This window comes from Homo sapiens, chromosome 4, assembly GCF_000001405.40.
Source record: "Homo sapiens chromosome 4, GRCh38.p14 Primary Assembly".
NCBI classification, from domain to species: Eukaryota; Metazoa; Chordata; class Mammalia; order Primates; family Hominidae; genus Homo; species Homo sapiens.
Genome location: NC_000004.12, coordinates 134,623,429 through 134,645,185, shown reverse-complemented (window position 1 = coordinate 134,645,185; position 21,757 = coordinate 134,623,429). Strand labels below are relative to the sequence as shown.

General features: G+C 34.7%; 1 long non-coding RNA gene across 2 annotated transcripts in view, besides 3 other annotated features; it reads right to left on the bottom strand.

Annotated features, from left to right (window-relative positions):
- Positions 1-4,611: 4,611 nt before the first annotated feature.
- The window catches only part of LOC105377436 (uncharacterized), a 60,586-nt gene continuing 43,440 nt past the window's right edge, over positions 4,612-21,757 (bottom strand). Inside the window, exons 1-3 of one of the 2 annotated variants that reach the window (XR_939211.3) lie at positions 17,524-17,571; positions 5,452-5,606; positions 4,612-5,053 (exon numbers count right to left, since the gene is read on the bottom strand). This is a non-coding gene — a long non-coding RNA (uncharacterized LOC105377436). Of the gene's footprint in view, positions 5,054-5,451; positions 5,607-17,523; positions 17,572-21,757 lie in introns of those variants that run through there. The other variant, XR_939214.2, reaches the window with a different exon arrangement.
- Positions 17,500-18,000: an enhancer, noted in NCBI's record as "H3K4me1 hESC enhancer chr4:135548341-135548841 (GRCh37/hg19 assembly coordinates)". NCBI's record gives its function as "activates a minimal SCP1, AML or CMV promoter by ChIP-STARR-seq in naive H9 embryonic stem cells {active_cell/tissue: H9 hESC(naive)}" and the evidence as "EXISTENCE:reporter gene assay evidence [ECO:0000049][PMID:30033119]".
- Positions 18,001-18,501: an enhancer, noted in NCBI's record as "H3K4me1 hESC enhancer chr4:135547840-135548340 (GRCh37/hg19 assembly coordinates)". NCBI's record gives its function as "activates a minimal SCP1, AML or CMV promoter by ChIP-STARR-seq in naive H9 embryonic stem cells {active_cell/tissue: H9 hESC(naive)}" and the evidence as "EXISTENCE:reporter gene assay evidence [ECO:0000049][PMID:30033119]".
- Positions 20,366-21,104: an enhancer, noted in NCBI's record as "OCT4-NANOG-H3K27ac hESC enhancer chr4:135545237-135545975 (GRCh37/hg19 assembly coordinates)". NCBI's record gives its function as "activates a minimal SCP1, AML or CMV promoter by ChIP-STARR-seq in naive and primed H9 embryonic stem cells {active_cell/tissue: H9 hESC(naive and primed)}" and the evidence as "EXISTENCE:reporter gene assay evidence [ECO:0000049][PMID:30033119]".

The window sequence follows — 21,757 nt, the reverse complement described above, 5'->3', positions numbered from 1 at the left end:
TACATACATGTATGTGTGTGTATATACATACATGTATGTGTGTGTATATACATACATGTATGTGTGTGTATATACATACATGTATGTGTGTGTATATACATACATGTATGTGTGTGTATATACATACATGTATGTGTGTGTATATACATACATGTATGTGTGTGTATATACATACATGTATGTGTGTGTATATACATACATGTATGTGTGTGTATATACATACATGTATAGATGTGTATGTATATATGTGTATATGTGTATAGACGTATATGTATATATGTGTATATGTGTATAGACGTATATGTATATATGTGTATATGTGTATAGACGTATATGTATATATGTGTATATGTGTATAGACGTATATGTATATATATGTGTATAGACGTATATGTATATGTGTATAGACGTATATGTATATATGTGTATATGTGTATAGACGTACATGTATATATGTGTATATGTGTATAGATGTATATGTATATATGTATATGTGTATAGATGTATGTGTATATATGTGTATATGTGTATAGACGTACGTGTATATATGTGTATATGTGTATAGACGTATATGTATATATGTATATGTGTATAGATGTATGTGTATATATGTGTATATGTGTATAGACGTACGTGTATATATGTGTGTATGTGTATATATACGTATATGTATATATGTGTATATGTGTATATATACATATATTTCAAAATTACGTAACTTTAAAATATATAACTAAATTATCTAGTATTTAGAAATTAAAGAGCCAGATAAGTATTATTTGCTGCATACTTATATATTTTAATCAGATTTTTAGCTAATATTCATGGGTTGGTATTTCTCAGAAAAGAAACATATTTGATACTGTCTTATTCCTAATTTTTAATCTTCATCAATGTTGCTTTTTATAGTTAATTAGATTATTGATATACTTAAATTACTTATCTGTAAAATATTTTCACATATACTGGTTTAATGTTGTCATTGAGAATAATGAATCTCTAGAAATCTTTTGCAAGACAAAATGTGTAAATATTTGGCCAAGTTTTCATTGTGCTTAATTTTTTCCTTTGCAATTTCGTGTTCCACTTCAATATAGAATATATGTATTTATGCAGTTAAAATAGAAATTCCATTTGAGGATTCATCCCATCATTTGACATTTCAAATTATAATTACATGATTTAAAATTAAAACTTCTAACCATATTTCAGTAGTCATCATCTAATTTTTCAGTGCCTGTCATGTGGTATATAAACCAAGCATGGAGGATGTCATGGATCAAAATGATGATTGCTGAGTTTAGGTTGTGGGAAACATGGAAGAGGTCTTTCTTTGGAAAATTTTATGTTAAAAACTTGAAATTAACTGAAGTCTTCAAAAGGCTAAGTTTTTAAAAACTTGGCCATTCTATTTATAAAATAATTTAATGAAAGATTTCCATTATTTTCTGAACAAATGCAAATACAATTTAATACATTCTTTATTTAAAATATGATGGGACACACCGAGTGATTTAATAAGTTTTTCAAAGACTCAAATGGAAACACATGTCATGTTCATGGATGGGTAGAATCAATATTGCAAAAATGCCAAATTCAATGCAATTCCCATTAAAATACCACCATCATTTTTCACAGAACTAGAAAAAGCAATCCTAAAATTCATATGGAACCAAAAAAAGAGTCCACATAGCTAAAGCAAGTCCAATCAAAAAAGAACAAATCTGAATGTGTCACATTACCTGACTTCAAACTATGCTATAAGGAAATAGTCACCGAAACAGCATGGTACTGGTATAAAAACAGGCACACAGATGAATGAAACAGAATAGAGAACCCAGAAATAAACCCAATACTTACAGCCAACTGTTGTTCAACAAAGCAAACAAAAACTTACAGCCAACTGATGTTCAACAAAGCAAACAAAAACATAAAGTGGCGAAAGGACATCCTATTCAACAAATGGTGCTGGGATAATTGGAAAGCCACATGTAGAAGAATGAAACTGTATCCTCACCTCTCACCTTATACAAAAATCAATTGAAGATGAATCAAGGGCTTAAATCTAAGACCTGAAACTATAAAAATTCCAGAAGATAACATCAGAAAAACCTTTCTAGACATTGGCATAGGCAAAGACATCATGACCAAGAACTCAAAAGCAAATGCAACAATAACAAAGATAAATGGGCGGGACTTAAACTAAAGAGCTTCTGCCCAGCAAGAGGAACAGTCAGCACAATAAACAGACAACCAACAGAGTGAGAGAAAATCTTTGCAATCTATACATCCAATAAAAGACTAATATCCAGAATCTACAAACAACTCAAACAAATTAAGAAGAAAAAAACAAATATCCCCATCAAAAAGTGGGCTAATGACATGAATAGACAATTATGAAAAGCAGATATATAAATGGCCAACAAACATATTTAAAAAGGCTCAGCATCACTAATCATCAGGGAAATGAAAATCAAAACCACAATGCGATACCAAACTACTCCTGCAACAATGGCCATAATCAAAAAATCCAAATAACGGATGTTGGCATGGATGTGGTAAAAAGGGAACACTTCTACACTACTGATGGTAATGTAAACTAGTACAACCACTATGGAAAACAGTGTGGAGATTCCTTAAAGAACTAAAAGTAGAACTACCATTTGATCCAGCAATCTCACTACTAGGTATCTACCCGGAGGAAAAGAAGTCATTAAACAAAAAAAGATACTTGCATACACACGTTAATAGCAGCACAATTTGCAATTGCAAAATATGGAACCAACACTAATGGCCATCAATCAGTGAGTGGATAAAGCATTTGTGAGATATATATATGTGTGTATATATATATGTATATGTATATATATGTATATGTATATATGTGTGTGTGTGTGTGTGTGTGTATATATACACACATATACACAATGGAACACTACTCAGCACTAAAAAGGAACAAATTAATGGCATTCACAGCAACCTGGATGGAACTGGAGATTATTATTCTAAGTGAAGTCACTCAGGAATGGAAAACCAAACATCATATGTTATTACTTATAAGGGGGAGGTAAACTATGAGGATACAAAGGCATAAGAATGTAGAACAGACTTTGGGGACTCAGGAAAAAGAGTGGGAGGGGGTGAGGAATAAAAAACTACAAATTGGGTTTGGGAGCTTGGGTGATGGGTGCACCAAAATCTCACATATCACCACTAAAAAACTTACTCATGTTACCAAACACTATTTGTTCCACAAAAACCTATGGAAATAATTTTTTTAAAGAAAAGTGGAAATTATGCAATCAACATTTTCAAATAAATAATTTTAAAAACTTAAAAAAATAATATTTATAATCATAAGCAAAGAGAAAAACCTTGTACTCCATAGTGAAGAATGAGGTTTTTTTTTAACTGTTTCACAAGTTTTATCATTCCATTACTATAATTATAATATGTACACACATACAAACATATTTAGATATGTTTACACAATTTATATATATGCCAATTAGTAGCATAACACAGGCTTTGGGGAGAACAATTATAAGTTATGTATGCACTACAAACAATGCCAATTATATTTCCACTCTCTGATAACTAAATTTATGTGTGAAATAATTTGGAGGGTGTACCGGGATGATATTAATACTTAAATAAGTGAACTCTGGGTAAAGCAGATTGACCTCTATAATGTGATTCAGCCTCATCCAATTAGATGAAGGCTTGAATAGAAAAAAAAAAAAAAAGACTGGCCTCTCCCAACAAGAGGAAATTCTTCAGCAGATTGCCTTTCAATTTAATCTGTACCATTGACACTTTGTGAGCATCAGCTTGCCAGTCTTCAGACTGTAACTGCACCATTGGCTTTCCTGGGTTTTGAGCCTGCTAGCCCACTGGATAGATTTGAACTTGCCAGACTCCATAATCATATAAGCCAATTACTTGCAATAAATCTCTCTCTCTCTCTCTCTCTCTCTCTATATATATATATATATATACACACACACACACATATGTATGTATATATATGCATATATACACATTACATATATATACATTTTATATATGTGTATATGAGATTCACTCTGTTTCTCTATAAAATCTGAAATCCTTAGCTTTCTAATTTAGTAGATCATTGTTTTATATCAAAAAAATTCTTCAAAAACTTTTTCTTTGTATTATTAATATAAATAAATTTCTATCTCAATATTATTATTTTAATTTAAAATAGCATTCAAAATATTTCCTTTTGGCAGGCTGAACTCAAAATTTGGTTTGTGTGGTAAGGCAGATAACACACATGCCAAAAGGATATGAAAAGATTTATTGCACATATAAGACTTTCTGGAGAGAATAGGAAAGGCTCCAAGCAGGTGTAAAAATGGTCTCAGCAAAGAGAGGGGTAGAGTGGCTCTGATTTTTACTGTGGTCAGAAAGGGGAGCTGAGATGTGTGAGGGGCAGTGCACTGACAGAGATCTGCATGCTTTGAACTTCCTCCTACTGTCAAAGGATGGAGGGAATGGGCTTTTTATCCCTTTGCCTACATGTGGAGCAAGAGAGGAAATGGGAGGGCTGAAACTTAAAAGCCAGCAGTAATCAGACATCAAAAATGGAGACAGAGTCTTTATTACATAGGTTGAATGAAATAATATCAACTGATATTGAAATTAACTTATTTTTTGCTTGCAAGATCTGATGGCATCAACAGAAAGCTGGCATCACTTAACTGTTTATAAAAATGTTTCTTCTGTGAATGAAGCCAACACATTAGAGCTACCCCTTACCTCTTCTCCCCTGTACAAGAAAACTTGGAATTAAAACAGGAAAAATTAATTTTGAAGAACAGCATTTTAATTTAAATGTCAAGTTATACTTCATAGACTGATGTGAAAATGCACATCCTTCTTCTAAATGTGTTTTACCATAATTTTCAAGCACAGTCTTCTTAAAAAGGTAACAACTAACTGTGAAGCATCTTTGGCAGATTTGTTCCTTCTCAGTATCACTGATGTGGAAGGTGATATCACGACTCTCACAATAGATGACAAATATCTGCAAACATGTTATGGAAATTATACGTTCACTATAAACTTCCTTAAGAGAGAAGCCCCATAATTTATGACGATCTTTCTTTTTTCTTTGTTTTTAGAGCTAATTCCTCTGAAATGATCTATTGAACAACAACCCCCCACCCACCCCCTGCCAAAAAAAGGTATCACTTATCAGGTAGTTAAAGGAAAAAAATATTATTAGATTTACACCATACAATGAATGACCAAATATTTGTGTTAAGAGTGTTCAAGCTATGCTTCCATTGATGGCAGACTGCTTAGCCTCTATATTCCACATATATTCTATGAATTTTCATCTTACAATGCCTCACATTTTCCTCTGACACCACAGTTTGGTGGTCTGGCACATGGCATATCACATACACTGAGAAAGGATACATAGTAACAACTGACTGGGACCCCAAGTGAATAGCAGGGGCAGCAGTATGGAATACTCAAGAAGAGATTCACTTCTAGTGGTTCCTGGATAAGCAGTTTGATGTTGGTCAACACCCAGCAAACTGTTCTTGAAAGACATGTGTAGTTGTCTGTATCTGGAAAGAGACATAGTTTATCACCTCACATTCTTCAGATAAAAATACTAGTTAACACGGTTCTCATATCCTAATAGAAAAGACTATATTGGAAACTGGAAGAAGTAAAGTTTGCCACATCCACCCTGGTTATTTTAATGCAACTATTAAGGTAAAAATTCATAAAAATTGTGAAGTGTCGTGTTCACACTAAGCTGAATGTCATGCTAAGACAACAGTGTAAACAGGGACTGTACCAAGAAATCCAAATGAAGGTCACTGGACTTATGAACCAGTTGATATTAGGTTGGTGCAAAAGTAATTGTGCTTTTGCCATTACTTTTGCACCAAACTAATACTATTATCATAGTATCCAGCAATGACTCTTTCATACGTAATTCAAACAGTAAATGCCAGAGCCTGTATTTTTACTCAGACATTTTGACATCAAAGCTTGAGCTCCTTGCCACTACATTATGACGCAGCTTGAAGATAGCTAGAGGAAAGCTAAGCAAATGCACTGAGGTGATTTAGAGAGAACTGAATAACAGATGGGAAGATGTACCAAAACAGGAGCCTGAAGATGTAGGTACCTAGTAATGGGTAACTTCTTTAAAGGATTGGAAAATACTGCAACATTTTTTGCCATCACTCATCAGATTTAGTGACCCAATATTAAGCAGTCTATGTCCACGTTCATTTATTCAAACATTTAATTAAGTAAGTAATTGAAATGAATACTGGTCGCTTGTCAAATTTTTCTAGCCTCTGTGGGTAAAGTTAATTGATGAAGCAGCCGTGGCCTCATGAAATGTATGAAACAGTGAAGTAGACAAGTGTTCAGTAAACACTACCATGGTCTCAAAAATTTTTGCATAAAATTTCCTTGTCAGTAAAAATGTTTAAGCATGCTTGAGAGAGGTTTTCACACATTTGGGGAAATGAGAAGGGAAATGAGAATCGCCAGAGAGAATGAGGGCAACGTGCTGAGAGATGATGCTGGAGAGGTAGGTAACAGAGTTCATTTCAAAATTGTCTTCTGAAGCCCACATTTCTGGATTCTAACCTTGAGGTAGTGAGCGTTTAGTGAAAGACTGTAATCAGGAACATGACTTAATAATGGCTGATTTTTAAAAGGTCAATTTGAATACCTTATTAATTTGTAAAAGTGCAAGACTAGATGTAAGAAACCAAATGGGAGGTCAAAGTATTAGTGAAAAATGTAAGAACTTGTTTTAGGGTAGTGGGAGAGCTAAGACAGAATAGTTTAAATGGCTAGACTGCCGAACAGTTCAAACTATTCAAAATTTATGTCAGAGCTACGATGGGCATTACATCTATACTAGTTTGCTAGAGCTGCAGTAACAAAGTCACAAACTGTATGGCATAAGCAAGATAAATTTATTGGCACACAGTTCTGGAGACTATAATTTTAAAATTGAGGTGTCGGCAGGTTCAGTTCCTTTTTCTTCCTTTTTTTCTTAATTTTATATTAAAATATTCCTTAGAAAAAAATTGGTTCCTTCCAAGGGCTGAGAGGAAGGAACCTGTTCCAGGCCATTCTCCTTGGCTTGCAGAAGGCCATCTTTTTGGATGTTTGTGTCTCTTCATATTGTCACCTCTCTATGGCTGTCTCTTTATCTTTGTATTTCTTTTTATAAGGACACCAGTCATATTGGATTGGGGGCTCATCCTACTCCACTATAACCTCATTCAAACTTAACTAATTATGTCTGCAATGACCAAATATTTTCAAGTAAGTTCAGATCCTAAGGTACTAGGGGTTAGGATTCCGACATAGGATTTTGGGGGAAAGCAATTCAACCCATAAGAATACCTATCCAGGGCCGGGCGCGGTGGCTCATGCCTGTAATCCCAGCACTTTGGGAGGCCGATGCAGGTAGATCACGAGGTCAGGAGTTCGAGGCCAACCTGGCCAAGATGGTGAAATCCCGTCTCTACTAAAAATACAAAAATTAGCCAGGCGCAGCGGCAGGCACCTGTAATCCCAGCTACTCAGGAAGCTGAGGCAGGAGAATCGCTTGAACCCAGGAAGCGGAGGTTGCAGTGAGCCGATATCGTGCTGCTGCACTCCAGCCTGGGTGACAGAGCAAGACTCCGTCTCAAAACACAAACAAAAACAAAAACCAAACCAAAACAAAAAAACAGAATACCTATCCAGAAAAATACGACTATTGTGTAATTAATTGTAGACATTGAGTATTCTGAGCCACAAGGTTATGAAAATCAGTTCAAAGGAAAGTGTGAGCTTGAAATTGGCCCAGGAGACTTTGCGTTTCTGTAATAAACAACAGTGGATGTGAGTGTGAATATGTGTGTAAGGACCAATATCATCACCATCAGTTAGTTTTCTAATTAAAAAAAGAAAAAATACTGAAACCCGTATTATTGGATTTCCTGATTTTCAGAAATATAAACTTCACCACAGGAAGTGTGTCACTCAGTTTCTCCCAACCAAGCTGAGAAAAAAAGTAAAATAAATAAATAAATAATAAATAAAAATGCCTTTTGGTGGCATCTATTTTCTCTTTGTGGTAGAAAGCAAATCATGGGCAGTAGATAAATGGGAAGTTAGCAAAAAGGGAAGTTTGAAGAGAGCGGAGACAATTTTAAGTGGTTATTGGAAAGGGTAGTTGCTTCTATATGCTGCTGTAAGATTCCTTCACTATCAACAGCTGCCTCCCCTACCCATGAAAAGATTTCTTTGTTCTTTCAGAACTTGATACTTGGCAGAAAAGAACTGCCCCTCCCTCTGCCCCATAGAGTTTTGTCATTCAGAACAGTACTTATAACAGCTATATTCTTGTCCACAAGGTTGCCCTGACTTGGACTTTTTTTCAGAGTTCGTACAAAATACAATTTATCTAGTTACAAAGGAAGGAAGCTTTGACATACGTTTATCATCACAACTTCAATTAAACATGCTCTTATTTTTTTTTCTGTCCTGCACAAACAAAATTTGACATTTCTATGCGGAGAGAAAAAAATTCCAGCAGCAGTAGCTCCCACGGTAACCAAACTTCTTGTCCATAAAATATCAGCTGATAGGCTCAGTGCCTATTCAAGGGCTGCTGGTTAACCAGTAATTCATCGCAATTTGCTATTGCAAGGTAGTATCAATGAACGTTATCATTTAAATTGGTGGATCCATAAAGAGTAGAAAAGCAAGAGTTAAAATCAGCAGTAGAGAGTTATGTAATGAATCAATCATATTAGCATGAGCTTAAAATAACTACCTTTTATACGTTTTGTTCCATCAAACAAAAGCAGCTGTTTAGCTATCTAAAATGAGTTAGATCTATTTGCATTTATCTCCTTTATAATAAATTAAAATTTACTACGCTAAGAATAAGGCTTTTTAAAAATATGTAGATCACAGGTGTTCAAGATATTGAGCTAGTTCCCTAAACTGCTTTGGTTCAAGTTTCTCTAGATTTAAAATACTGAAGATGATGCCAGCAGCTTTACCTAACTCTTAGACATAAACTAAATGCAACTACATCATCTCAGGAGGTAAGAAATCCTTATGATTTTAATATCTACCATTTTGTTTTTATATTTGTTTCTTATCTAATAAAATGCCATAATTAATGAAAAATCTCCAGCTGTTTAGGCAGTTTGGAAAACTGTATTTACTTCATTATTGCCTAAACAAATGAATTTGTGTGTATATTTGCTGGATGCTTCATTTTTTGAAACTAAATGCATTATATAGTTAACTGAGTACTTCCATGAATATAAAACTTGTTCCAAAGTTGATTGCATTCTTCTAGGACAAAGTAAAAGTACAAGTTTAGACATGTAGAAGATATGCAATAAACACTGCTTTTTCTAATGGTAGATATTTTAAAAATAATTTTTATAGTTAAGTCCCACAATTTAGTAAAGCAAGGAATGGAATGGGCAATACTATAATGTTTTCTACATAATATTTTCAACCAATTTAGATTGAAGAAATATATCTACAGTTATCTGATTCAATTCTTGTTAAAGTACCTGTGCATAAATATACAATCATTATTCATACATCCCATAAAAGCAAAATGCATTCACTAGCTAGACACAAAATGAAGTTTATAGGTGTATACAAGTTGATTTCAGCATAGTAAATTTATTTTCTTTTTATCTTATGTCACCAATGAAATGATCAACATAATTGAATTAAATTTGTTACCTGGTAACAAACAGAAGATGCATCTGTTTTATAACCAAATACAATCTCTGAAACCTTATATTTCTCTGCTATATCACCCTGACAATTAACATGCTATAAAATAAGATCTATACCCTGAATACCATATGGTACACCTTTCTGTTAGACCACAGTGTTAACTTTTTGATAATAAAATATGGATTTTTTTGTAACAGAATTTTCCTGCTTTGAAAAGATACGAATGATACTAAATCAAAGAGGAAGTAAGTTGAAATACTCAGCTATATGCTTCCTGCTGTGGATTGTTATTTCTAATATATGTGTATGCAATTATATATCACTAATAACAAATACATATTGAGTTGTTAGTACATGACAGACATTTTACAGAAAAAGTTTACATGTATAATCTCATTTATACTTACACTGACTCAGTGACATTAATGCAATCATTATTCCTATTTTGCAAGTGAGAGAAGTAAACCAGAGAGAGATTAAGAAAGAAGAAAAATATTGGCAGTCAGAAATGCAGAATTTGAGAGAAAGAGAGAATAATGACAAAACTTTTCCTCAAAGAAGATTCAGAAGTAAATATTTCTACCTCTTCTACTTTTAGGGGAGAAAAATAACAAAGCAATAGTGCAGCAGCATTTTCAAGAAGCTCAGGAAAGAATTCAGGAACCAAAAACATTATATCCAGCTAAGGTTTCTTTCAAGTCTCAAAGCCATAGATAATGTTGAAGAATGTTGAGGCTGGGTACGGTGGCCAATGCCTGTAATCCCAGCACTTTGGGAGGCCTAGATGGGTGGATCAGTGGAGGTCAGGAGTTCAAGATCAGCCTGGCCAAAATGGTGAAACCCCTTCTCTACTAAAAATACAAAACTAGCCGGGTGTGGTGGCACACGCCTGTAATCCAATTACTCAGGAGGCTGAGGCAGGAAAATCGCTTGAACCGGGGAGGCAGAGGTGGCAGTGAGCCAAGATTCCCGTCTGGGCAATAGAGCGAGACTCTGTCTCCAAAAAGAAAAAAAAAGAAAAAAAACCAGAAAACTTTTTTTTTTTTTTGTCTGAGAAATATATTAGAGGATGAATTTTATCCAACCAAAATATGACTAGGAAAATTTCAGCCAAAAATTGATATTGGCCATTTTATGTATTTAATTATTGAGCTAAGACTACCACAAGAGTGGGGTTTTGAGGTTGAAGAATTATATGTAAACATATGCACTCTGACAAAATAGAAAGGATGCAACGAAAAACTGGGAGAGAAAGAGTAGAATGATTGTTGCCTGTTTGATACGTAGTAGGTGCCAGACAAAAAATGCTGTATAAAATGAACACAAATGATAATAAAGTGTTAAATAAGAAAAATATTTTTAAAAATATTAAAACAAAGGTAATTACTAAAATGAAAATACAGACTTTCCTAAGTACTAAAATAACCTTTTAAAATGGTGCAAAGACACAGAAAATGATTTTTTTAAAACATAGTAAATATAACACTCAAAATAATAACAAGATAATATGACAGATTTGAGACCAAACAAAACAGTTATGTCAATAAATGTGATTAGGGCTTAACTCAGCTACAAACAAACAACATAAAGCAAACTCAACTTTATGCTCTAATCAAGACAACATTTTAAAACAGTCATTAAAAAAGGCAAAAACAAAGGAATGGGCAAGTCCTCACAATCCAACAAGAAACAGTGAGACAATAAGGGGTTGCAATCTTGATTCCAAAGTAGAATTTGAGGCATAAACCTTTTAACTGAGATTAAAAAAAAAAGTGAATGATCAAAGCTATAAAAATGAAACTATCATTTAAATATATATGTACCAAATAACACAGAAACTATAAAAAGCAAAAATACCGAGGATATCATAAGAAATTATAAAAACACAGTATTAATAAGAGATTTTAAGATATTCTCAGTTTGAAAGTAGTAAGGCAGACAAAATTTAAATTAAATTACATAAGTCTATAAAATATAAAATTGATAAGGTCAGTTTCTTAGATATTCATTCAACAATATACTCCAGTAATAGAACATAATTTATTTTCACTTGCATATGAAAAGACCAAAAATATTTACATTAAAACACAAAAAAATCAGTAAATTTTATAATGTATAAATAAGACAAAACAATCTGAAAAATAAAATTAAACTTCTCTTGCACATGGATATTAAGACTTCTTACATAATTACCTTTGAGGAAAAAAGGAAAATACACAGAAATTTTAGGATTTCTGAAAAAATGTGATAATGAAAAGCATTACCTATCAAAATCTATGGCATATACTTAAAGTAGTGATAAAAAGAAATTCTCCAGTCGAAGAGATGCTCATTAGTAAAAATGTAAGACTAACAATTTAAATGAATTTAATTCTCCCCTTCAAAATTTAAAGAAAAGTAACAACAAAATAATCCAAAGAAAATATAACGAAAAAATAATAAATATAAAAGCAAATTCTGTTAGAGAGAAAACATAATAACATCAACTTAATAAATCAAATTCCTGTTATTTTGAAAAAATTTACAAAATAGGTTAAGCACTGGTTATGGGAATAGAAGAAGAAAAGTGCTACAAAGGACATTGTTAAATTAACTGACAAAATTATAATATAAATGGTAGATTAGATATAAATATTGTATATATCCTAAATAGTGACTGATATACAGTTATAACTCAAAATGTCTATATTCTTAGAAAATATGCATTAAAGTTTTGGGGATAAAAGTTATGCTAGGTAAATGGCTCAAAATATTATTTTTCTCCCTCACCTTCTCCCTCTCTCTCAAGAGAAAAAGACAGAAAGCAAATGAGAGAAAAGTTTAACTATTAGTGAATCTGGGAAAAGGGTATATAGATGCACTGTACTTTTTATTTTTGGAATTTCCCTATTAGTTTTAATTTATTTCCAAGTGTAAAGTTAAACATTGTGAAAGCTTTCTATGCTCACGGTAATTTGTATTAGATAGTTTTTGAACCTGACATCCCTTCTAATTGCTCCCTCAGACTACATGCAGCCTAAAGTCTCTACTTCAAGAGCATAGCTCTCATATTTCTTCCTTGTGGCTTTTACAGAAGTCAGAAGTTAAGGAATTACACCTGGGCCTAGCAATGGGGAATGAGCCAATGGATAATTACCTCAGCCACATCTCTTTATATGGACAATTCTGGAAAATACTCCATGCTTCTTGGAAGGCCTGTAGGAGTCAAGTTTTGTGGTCAACAGAAAGGACCTTACTAATGCATGCTTTATTTTATTTTCTTGCCCCACCACCCCCGGTCTTACTTTCTTCACACATTTATTTGTGCTACTTGGAAACACTCCCAAATAAATTACCTCCATACAAGTCCTTGTCACAGGCTTTGCTTTCAATGAAGTTCTTACTAAAATACATTGCACGAACCAGTCCAACAGTGTTTGGGCTGGTTAAAGAAGAGAGTTAATCTGCCCTCTTGCCTTTTAGGAAAGGCACTGATAATAGCCTGATTTTCTCTGTCCTCAGAGATTCCTATACTACATATATAAACATATATACCATTTCCTTGGCCAAGCACAGTGGCTCACACCTGTAATCCCAGCACTTTGGGAGGCCAAGGTGGGAGAATCCTGCCCCCTTTTGAATAACTGGATTGAATTCGAAACAATTAAAAGGGAAAAGAAAAGAGGAGGTAGAAGAGGGAAAAGTGAAGGAGGAGAAGAAAAAAAAATCAAAAACTCCTCAATTACTCTTCAGTTCTTCATATTACATCCCTTAGGGCTTCTGCATTCACATATACCTGGAACTAAACTGGCATAAATACAACATCACCCATACCATCAGTACAACTGCCGAAAGTCTATTAAATAGCAGAGATCAGTTTTTCCAATTAAGTGACTGTGCACTACTCGTATTATCCAATATAGCTATTAAAAAACGAAAAAAGCATCTTGGACTTCACTGTAAAAGAGTTGGGATGCAATATAAACTTTTAAAACTAAAGTATGATCTGTTCATTATTATTTTTAAAGTCTAGTATTTAAAAAGTAGACACAAATAAATATAGTAATATTTTAGATACGGGGGCAGTGAAATAAAGGATAAAACCCCACTCATATTTCTGGTTTGAATAACTGGATTGAGATTTGATTTACTGAGAAGGGAAAATAAAAGAGGCAGAGGAAGAAAAATAAAAGGAGGAGAAGGAAAAAAATTACAACAGTTAACATCGTCAGGCACCATGATACCTATATTGATTTTCATTTTGCCATCATAGCTCAAGAGGTAGGTATAATTATGACTTCCATTCTGGACATATAAAAACTGAATTCAAGCCAGGCACAGTGGTTCCCTGTAATCCCAGCACTTTCAGAGGCTGAGGCGGGAGGATCACTTGAGGGCAAGAATTTGAGACCAGCCTGGCCAACATGGTGAAACCCCATCTCTACTAAAAATACAAAAAAAAAAAAAAAAAAAAAATTAGCCAGGCGTGGTGGTGCATGCCTGTAATCTCAGCTACTCGGGAGGCTGAGGCAGGAGAATAACTTGAAGCTGGGAGGCGGAGGTTGCAGTGAGCTGAGATCGCGCCACTGCACTCCAGCCTGGATGACGGATCAAGACTCCATCTCCAAAAAAAAAAAAAAAAAGAACTTGTACAAAGGCACATAGTTAGTAGATGATTTGTCAGTACTTCGGACAAGCTAGTAGGTAGTCTAAAACTAGAACCCATAACCACAACAAAACAATTTATAGAGGTGATGGTGCCACAGTCACCAACAAGTCAGATTTCCACTGGCTGATTAACACTGAGCTTTCCATTATCAATTTAAAACAAAATTTGTAAATAATGCAAAATTATTTCTCATTAAAAACATGAATGAATCTGTAATCCCAGCACTTCGGGAGGCTGAGGCGGGCGGATCACGAGGTCAGGAGATTGAGACCATCCTGGCCAACACGGTGAAACCCCGTCTCTACTAAAAATACAAAAATTAGCTGTGTGTAGTGGCGTGCGCCTGTAGTCCCAGCTACTCAGGAGGCTGAGGCAGGAGAATCCCTTGAACCCGGGAGGCGGAGGTTGCAGTGAGCTGAGATCGCACCACTGCACTCCATCCTGGCGACAGAGCAAGACTGTCTCCAAAAAATAAAATAAATAAAAATAAGGCAAAACATGAATGAAGAATACATGGTATATGTCAAAAACAGGAAATTCTGGATCTACTCATTATATCTGTTTTTCATATTATTTTTGAACTGTGAAGCATTATCCCACAAACTATATTTTAAAAATTAATTTAGCTGAAAAAATATATGTATTTCTTGAGAGAATAAAATCTCTCATTATGTTTAGCAAAAAAGAAAAAAAAAATTTTTCAGGCAGCACTGGGCTTGCATTCCCATCCAGCAAAAAGAGGAAGGAGCTGGGTACTCTCTGTCTCTCTCTAAAAGGAGCATGCACTCTGCTGTTTTTCCCTCTTCCCATTCCAGGTTTTTGTAATAGAACCAAGAAAAAAAAAAAAGAAACCATAAAACTTGAAGAAATTAATTTAATCCAAGAAACAAAAGTGTTTCAGGAATAAGAGAGTAAGTAGTTAATTGTGTACTAAATGATACTTTAAAGACAAGGTTAAATAAACCATGAACCAGATTTCTTGTAGAGACAATGGTCAAGTGAATAAGAGACATAGGAAAATAAACATTTATATAATTTGTGGCAAATAAAAAAATAAAGTTGTATAACATGCAGTGGAAATAACCCACAGTAACATGTACAAGGCTTACAGGAGCCACCGTTCTTAGAATAGTGGTGATTTTATTAATTTTTAAGATTTTTCTTTATTTTCTTAATTTCTATATTATTATATTCTTATTTCTATTATTGTATAATGATCAAATATGTTACTTCTAAAAAGTAATCTATTGAATTTAAAGTATCTCATAAATAGAATTTTCCAAGACTCTCAAATCTTTTGAAAAAAATTGTGTCCCTGGTATGCTGACTTTATCTGCAAAAAAAGAAAGCATCAAAGTCCCTAGACGTCCACCCAGCTGTTTCTAGCTTCTGTTATATTTACTCTGATTTATCTAGCATGGCATATAATTAGTTGTTTGGGTTATTGAATAAAGCCTGACTGTACTTGATTATGATTCACAACACATTATTTATATTGTCATTATAAAGGCAATTTTGGGCCAAGGTACATTTCAACTTCTTTTTATTGGGAAAAGCATGTCGAAAAGCTGGTACATAGCCTTCCTCCAAACACTATAAATTATTTTCTGTATGTGTTTAATGACAACATTATGTGTTTTTAATTAAAAATGAATGTGCCTAGAGAGTTCTCCAAAAATACCCATATCCTTGGCACAATATCTGTCTATAGAAATTTTTCACAGCAGTTGTCTAGCTCAAAGTCTATATTTATGAAAATTTTCCTCAGTTTAGTTAACAGAAATTAAATTAATTGATGTTTACACTCCCCATGGAACATTTTTCATGGTTACATCTCATGAAATAGTGGACACAACAAATATTTCCATAAGGGCAAAGGAAAGAATAATTCAATTGAGAATTGTATTCCTCCATTGAATATAAGCTTCTGAAGGCATAAAGTATAGCTGACACGGATTCGCTCCCCTTCCAGACTGGTATTTTTACATACGCCATCCCTTAAGACAGTGAGTAGTGTCACAAGAAATCTGAGATGATAGTTTGTTGATTGTTCTCTGCCTGTTTTCTAGACTCTTGTTAGAGGTCTGAAATGGCTGCTCTTTTTTTGTTTCTTTGTATTAATCTCTATTAACCCCACTCCATTCCAAAGTAAATAAAGTTAGTATTTTTTTTCTTTTTAAACTAGCAGTGGTACATACGAAAACCTACCTGGCACATAAATATATAAGAAATATTTTCATTTACAGTTACCACAAAAACCCAGGTTCAGTTTAATAATTTATGAAAGTTATAAACATGAGATCAAACTTTGCTTATACTTTTCCTTCCAGGTTTTCACTAAAAAGCCATAATATTGTTTAGGAGTCATAAAAGTCTTTAATTTATATATCACAGCCTGCTTTTATTTGGTCTAGGGATCTACATAACACACATGTTATGCATTCCCCAATTGCTGATGCCAACATGATGACAAGAATGCTGAGATTAATTACTTTAATGCTGGCCTAACTCAGCTATTCTAAAGGTCAGATGAAGGCTTGCTAAAAAGAAACCAAAACTCTATGGATCAGCTTAACTACTGCAAACTACTGTGATAAATTAGGATTTGTGCATAATTTATTCTTTTTTTAAAAAAAAGTCTACACTGTTAAAGAGTTTCAATTTATTAGACTAATTTGTGTACTTTGGAAGGAGACCAGCTCCCATCATCCTATTGGACATTTGATTTAGGATTTTTACCATCAGCACTATTCCTGCTATATGAAGAGGGTGTTACAGTAGGTAGCTAGTCAGGCATGAGCAGGGAAGGAGAGCACCTTGCCACCACACCGCTCACTGCTCTCCCACCAGGAATGTCAGGAAACCATCAGGTGATAGTTAGGCAGTTGTCACACTGCCTCTCTGAAATAATAATTGTGTTGCAGGACTTCTCCCTTAGTTGAGCTAAAGACAGGGTTCTTTGTCTCACTGCCACAAAAATTCAGGCAAGCAGACAATTTAAATGGTGAGTAAGATAGGTTTTTACTGGGTGAAAATGAAGAAAAGGGGAAAACAGGGACTCTCGCTAGGCCAGAGTGCCCTGCTAGAGTCCTTCCTACCTGCAGTTCAAATTCCAGGTTCCAATTCTAGGTTCCACATAGAAAGAGGCCGGGCCAGGCTCCTCCCTGCTTCAAAGGGCAGGAACTTCCTGAGACTCCACCTCAGTGTGCAGGCTGGTTGAAGTTTCTCCAGGGTCTCCCCTCCCACCTGGCTGTCTCAACTGGTTACAGCTGGTGTCAGGGAAAGGCAGTTTCCCGATAGATAGAAACACCTGAAACTGGTGTAGCTTCCCAGTAAGTAGCTTCCCAATAAGATCTCAGGAGTTGGGTAAGTAAGCTCAAGCATGTGCATTAAGAGGAAAAATGGTGGAATTTAGCTGGTATGTGACCTTCCAGGGACATTCCACCGCTAAGGGAAGAATGCCTCAAGTGAGCATGCATACAACATACAAAACCCCAAGTCGGCTGGGCGCGGTGGCTCATGCCTGTGATCCCAGAACTTTGGGAGGCTGAGGCGGGCGGATCACGAGGTCAGGAGATCGAGACCACCCTGGCTAACACAGTGAAACCCCGTCTCAACTAAAAATACAAAAAAAATTAGCTGGGCATGGTGGCACACGCCTGTGGTCCCAGCTACTCGGGAGGCTGAGGCAGGAGAGTGGTGTGAACCCAGGAGGCAGAGCTTGCAGTGAGCCGAGATCACGCCACTGCACTCCAGACTGGGCAACAGAGCAAGACTCCGTCTCAAAAACAAAACAAAACAAAACAAAAGAAAACAAAACAAAACAAAAACTAGTCAGAAGGTCAAACCAGGCACTTGACTCACTAAAATTGCCTGCTTTGCCCTCTTCCAAGTGTACTTTCCTTCCTTTTATTCCTGCTGTAATGGTTTTTAATAAACTTTCACTCCAACTCTTAAAACCTGCCTCAGTCTCTCCTTCTGCTTTATGCCCTTCAGTGGAATTCTTTCTTCTGAGGAGGCAAGAAGTGATGTTGCTGCAGACCGATACGGATTCACCATTGTAAACAAGGGCAGATATGGGTTTTCACTTATAAGAGTCTGATGCTGAAATCTCTAATATAATACTCTTGAGAGATTTAGCTGAAATAATTTTGGTATGACAAAAAGATTGGTCTATAAAGAAGGGCATTTTCTAAGTCCAAGATTAGCTATAAACTATTAACTATAAACTGAAGTTTATAGGTAAAAAAATAAGTTTATAGCTTAAGAACACAAAAATCACGAGTGACTAATTCTCCTACTCATAGAATGGGGTCATCAGCCATGTGTTACCTTTCTCTACCGAAATAACATGAGGGTCCTCTCCTCTCTTAGGATTTCTAAATTTACTGTAACAATGCTAGCATTTTTGTTGAAAGCAAATGAACTCATAACTTAACGTATAGTATAAGATAAACTTAATAGCTTGGGCATGATGCATATTAAGGTGGTATATGCTTCACTTCTATATTCCTACATTTCTGCCTAGTATTCCTAGCTAATATCTATTTTCTCAAAAGGTATCCCTGTAGTGAACAACCTAAGAGGTAAGCTCTGCGTTGGATTTTGCTTTTCCACATACCTGAATCTGTTCCTAAATTGAATGTTTTCTGTAAGAGATGTGTCAAGGTTTTAGTCTGTAAACTGATACTTAAGGCAATTACTTCCATCAATTAGGATGCATCCAAAATTAATTATTATATTAAACTCTCATGTGATACACAATATCTGCTGCCACAGATGCAGTGTCCCTTTGCCTGTCTGGGATTAGGCAAAGATAAAAAAAAAAAATCTGAAAATGGTGTTCAGACTCAGGAACACTGTTATGAATAGATTTCACCTCCACGATTAATTATTTAAAAATAAAACGACTGGAGATGGTAGAGCTGGATAAGAAAGCAAGGAAAAAAATGAGTGCATCTTTTATTCAGTAAGAATTATTAACAAACATCCAGAAAAGCTGAGATCCCAAGAAAAGTAAAATTATGCTCAGGAGAGTTCCTCAGATTCATTATTCTATATTCAAAAAACAGACTCCTCTGATGTAACTTTATGTTACTTTCATACAAATTGATTTCTTTGGTAAACCAAAAATAAAATTCTCAGCCCTTCAGCCAACTGAATGGATCCCTCCTCTTCACCAATGGCATTCTAAGTAAACCTGAAACACTAGTTCAGGCCATGATGGAAATGGGTGGTCAGACACGTCTCATCATATCTTCCTTCTTTTGGAATTCAGGCATGGCTGGCCTGCATTAACATTAAAACAGAGACGTTAAATCTTTAAGTCTGATTTATTTATTTTCTCTGAAGCCTGCTACCTGGAGGCTTCATCTGCATAATAAGAGCCTTGGTCTCCACAATCCCTTATTTATTTATTTATTTATTTATTTATTTATTTATTTATTTATTTATTATTTTTATTTTTATTTTTTTTGAGACAGAGTCTCGCTCTGTCGCCCAGGCTGGAGTGCAGTGGTGCGATCTCAGCTCACTGCAACCTCTGCCTCCCGCACAACCCCTTATTTTAACCCAGATACTTCTTTCTATTGATTACAGTTTGTTAGATAAACATTTTCAACCAATTGCCAATCAGAAAATCTTTGAATCCACCTATGCCCTGAAATCCATCCTGAACATTCCCCCACTTTTAGTCGACCTTCCTTTCCAGACTGAACCAATATACATCTTACATGTGTTAATTCATGTCTTATGCCTCTCTAAAATGTAAGAAATCAGGCCCTAGCCTGACCACCTTAGGCACATATCAGGACCTCCTGAGACTATGTCACAGGCATGTCCTTAACTTTTAGTCAAAATAAGCTTCCAACTTGATTGAGACTTAGATACTTTTTGGTTTACACTTTGAGCACACACACAAACACACACAAATTATATTTGTAGTGCAAATAAAGAAGTGATCCTCAAGACCTAAAGTTTCTTTTTCATTTTCCTTTTCTTCCCCCCAAAGCAAAGTTTCTATAGCCTCTTGCCCACGGAAAACAGCAAGACAAAGCATCTGCTGTCAAGACTGAGTGACAATTTGTAATAATTAGCATCAGGAACAATAGACCACTTTTTAAACTCCTACTCAGAGTGCTTAGCAAAGTATTCAAAGTCATTTAAAGTGTTTGAGAGCTAATAAGGACTAAAGAACTTGCAAGTGTTATGCACAGAGGCAATGAGCACTGCAGTCATTATACCACTGTAATTCCAACCAAAACAATCTCCCAAACAGTTGCACAGGAATTTAATGGTAACTCACTTTGAGGAGGAAGGTTCTTAAGTGTAGCCTTGAGCAGTAAACCTTTGGAAGGAAGATTAGTAGACAATTTTTGGCCTCATAGTCATAACCTTTATGGGTGATTCTACCTGAAATTTGGCTTCTGCCTAGCTGTATCTCAGATCCCTTGGAACACCTGTGTGCCTGAGATTTGCTGCAAGGGTGCTATTGCCATTTTCAGGAGAAGACTTATGCCAGCTGCTTTGCAATTGGTAAGGGATCTATTTGAGACAGAAAGAAGTCTAGGAAATAACTGAGAAGGAGAAAGCATATAAAGTAACTTAGGAGTCATGCTTTTCATGTCACATAGATGGGATTTTCTTTCCCTGGGTTGTCTTTTTGAATTCCTCCTTGAAATAGCAGCAATGCAGAATTCTGAGGAAACAACACCTGTTCCGACCCCAGGGCAGGCTTTTGGGCAGTAATCCTTTTGGATACCAATTTATTCAAGTCTGCTAAATAATTAGTGAGTCAACTTTCCTAGTTGATTTCCATTCCTATGGGCAATACTGAGTCTTTTCTAATTTGAATCATTTTATAAGATAATTCTAGAATATAGTTTCCAACAAATGAGATTCCACTTTACCTTAACTGAATAATGAAATTCTCTGTGTTAAAGTTTTAATAAATATTTTTAAAATTATTCTTTAATTAGAGAAAAATCCCCAAAATGTATGTATTTGTATTATGTGAGGCAAATTATTATTTTAAACATGGAAAACAAAAAAATATAATTTAAGTCCCTTCTGAAATCTAGCAGCATATTCTTTTTAGGACAATACTTACAATATTATTATTTATTTCACACGTTTTATTATTTTAATGTAAACATCTAGAAAGTAAAAATGACTCATAAATGACAGGTATTTGTAGATTTCCTGTGCATTAGTTCATCGAAAACAACCTTGGCACAAATGGTACAGTTAATAAACATGTTTCAGAGCTGTGTATAATTTAATTCTAGAATTAAGCAATTAGGTAACTTGCATGTATGAATATATAAAGATTAA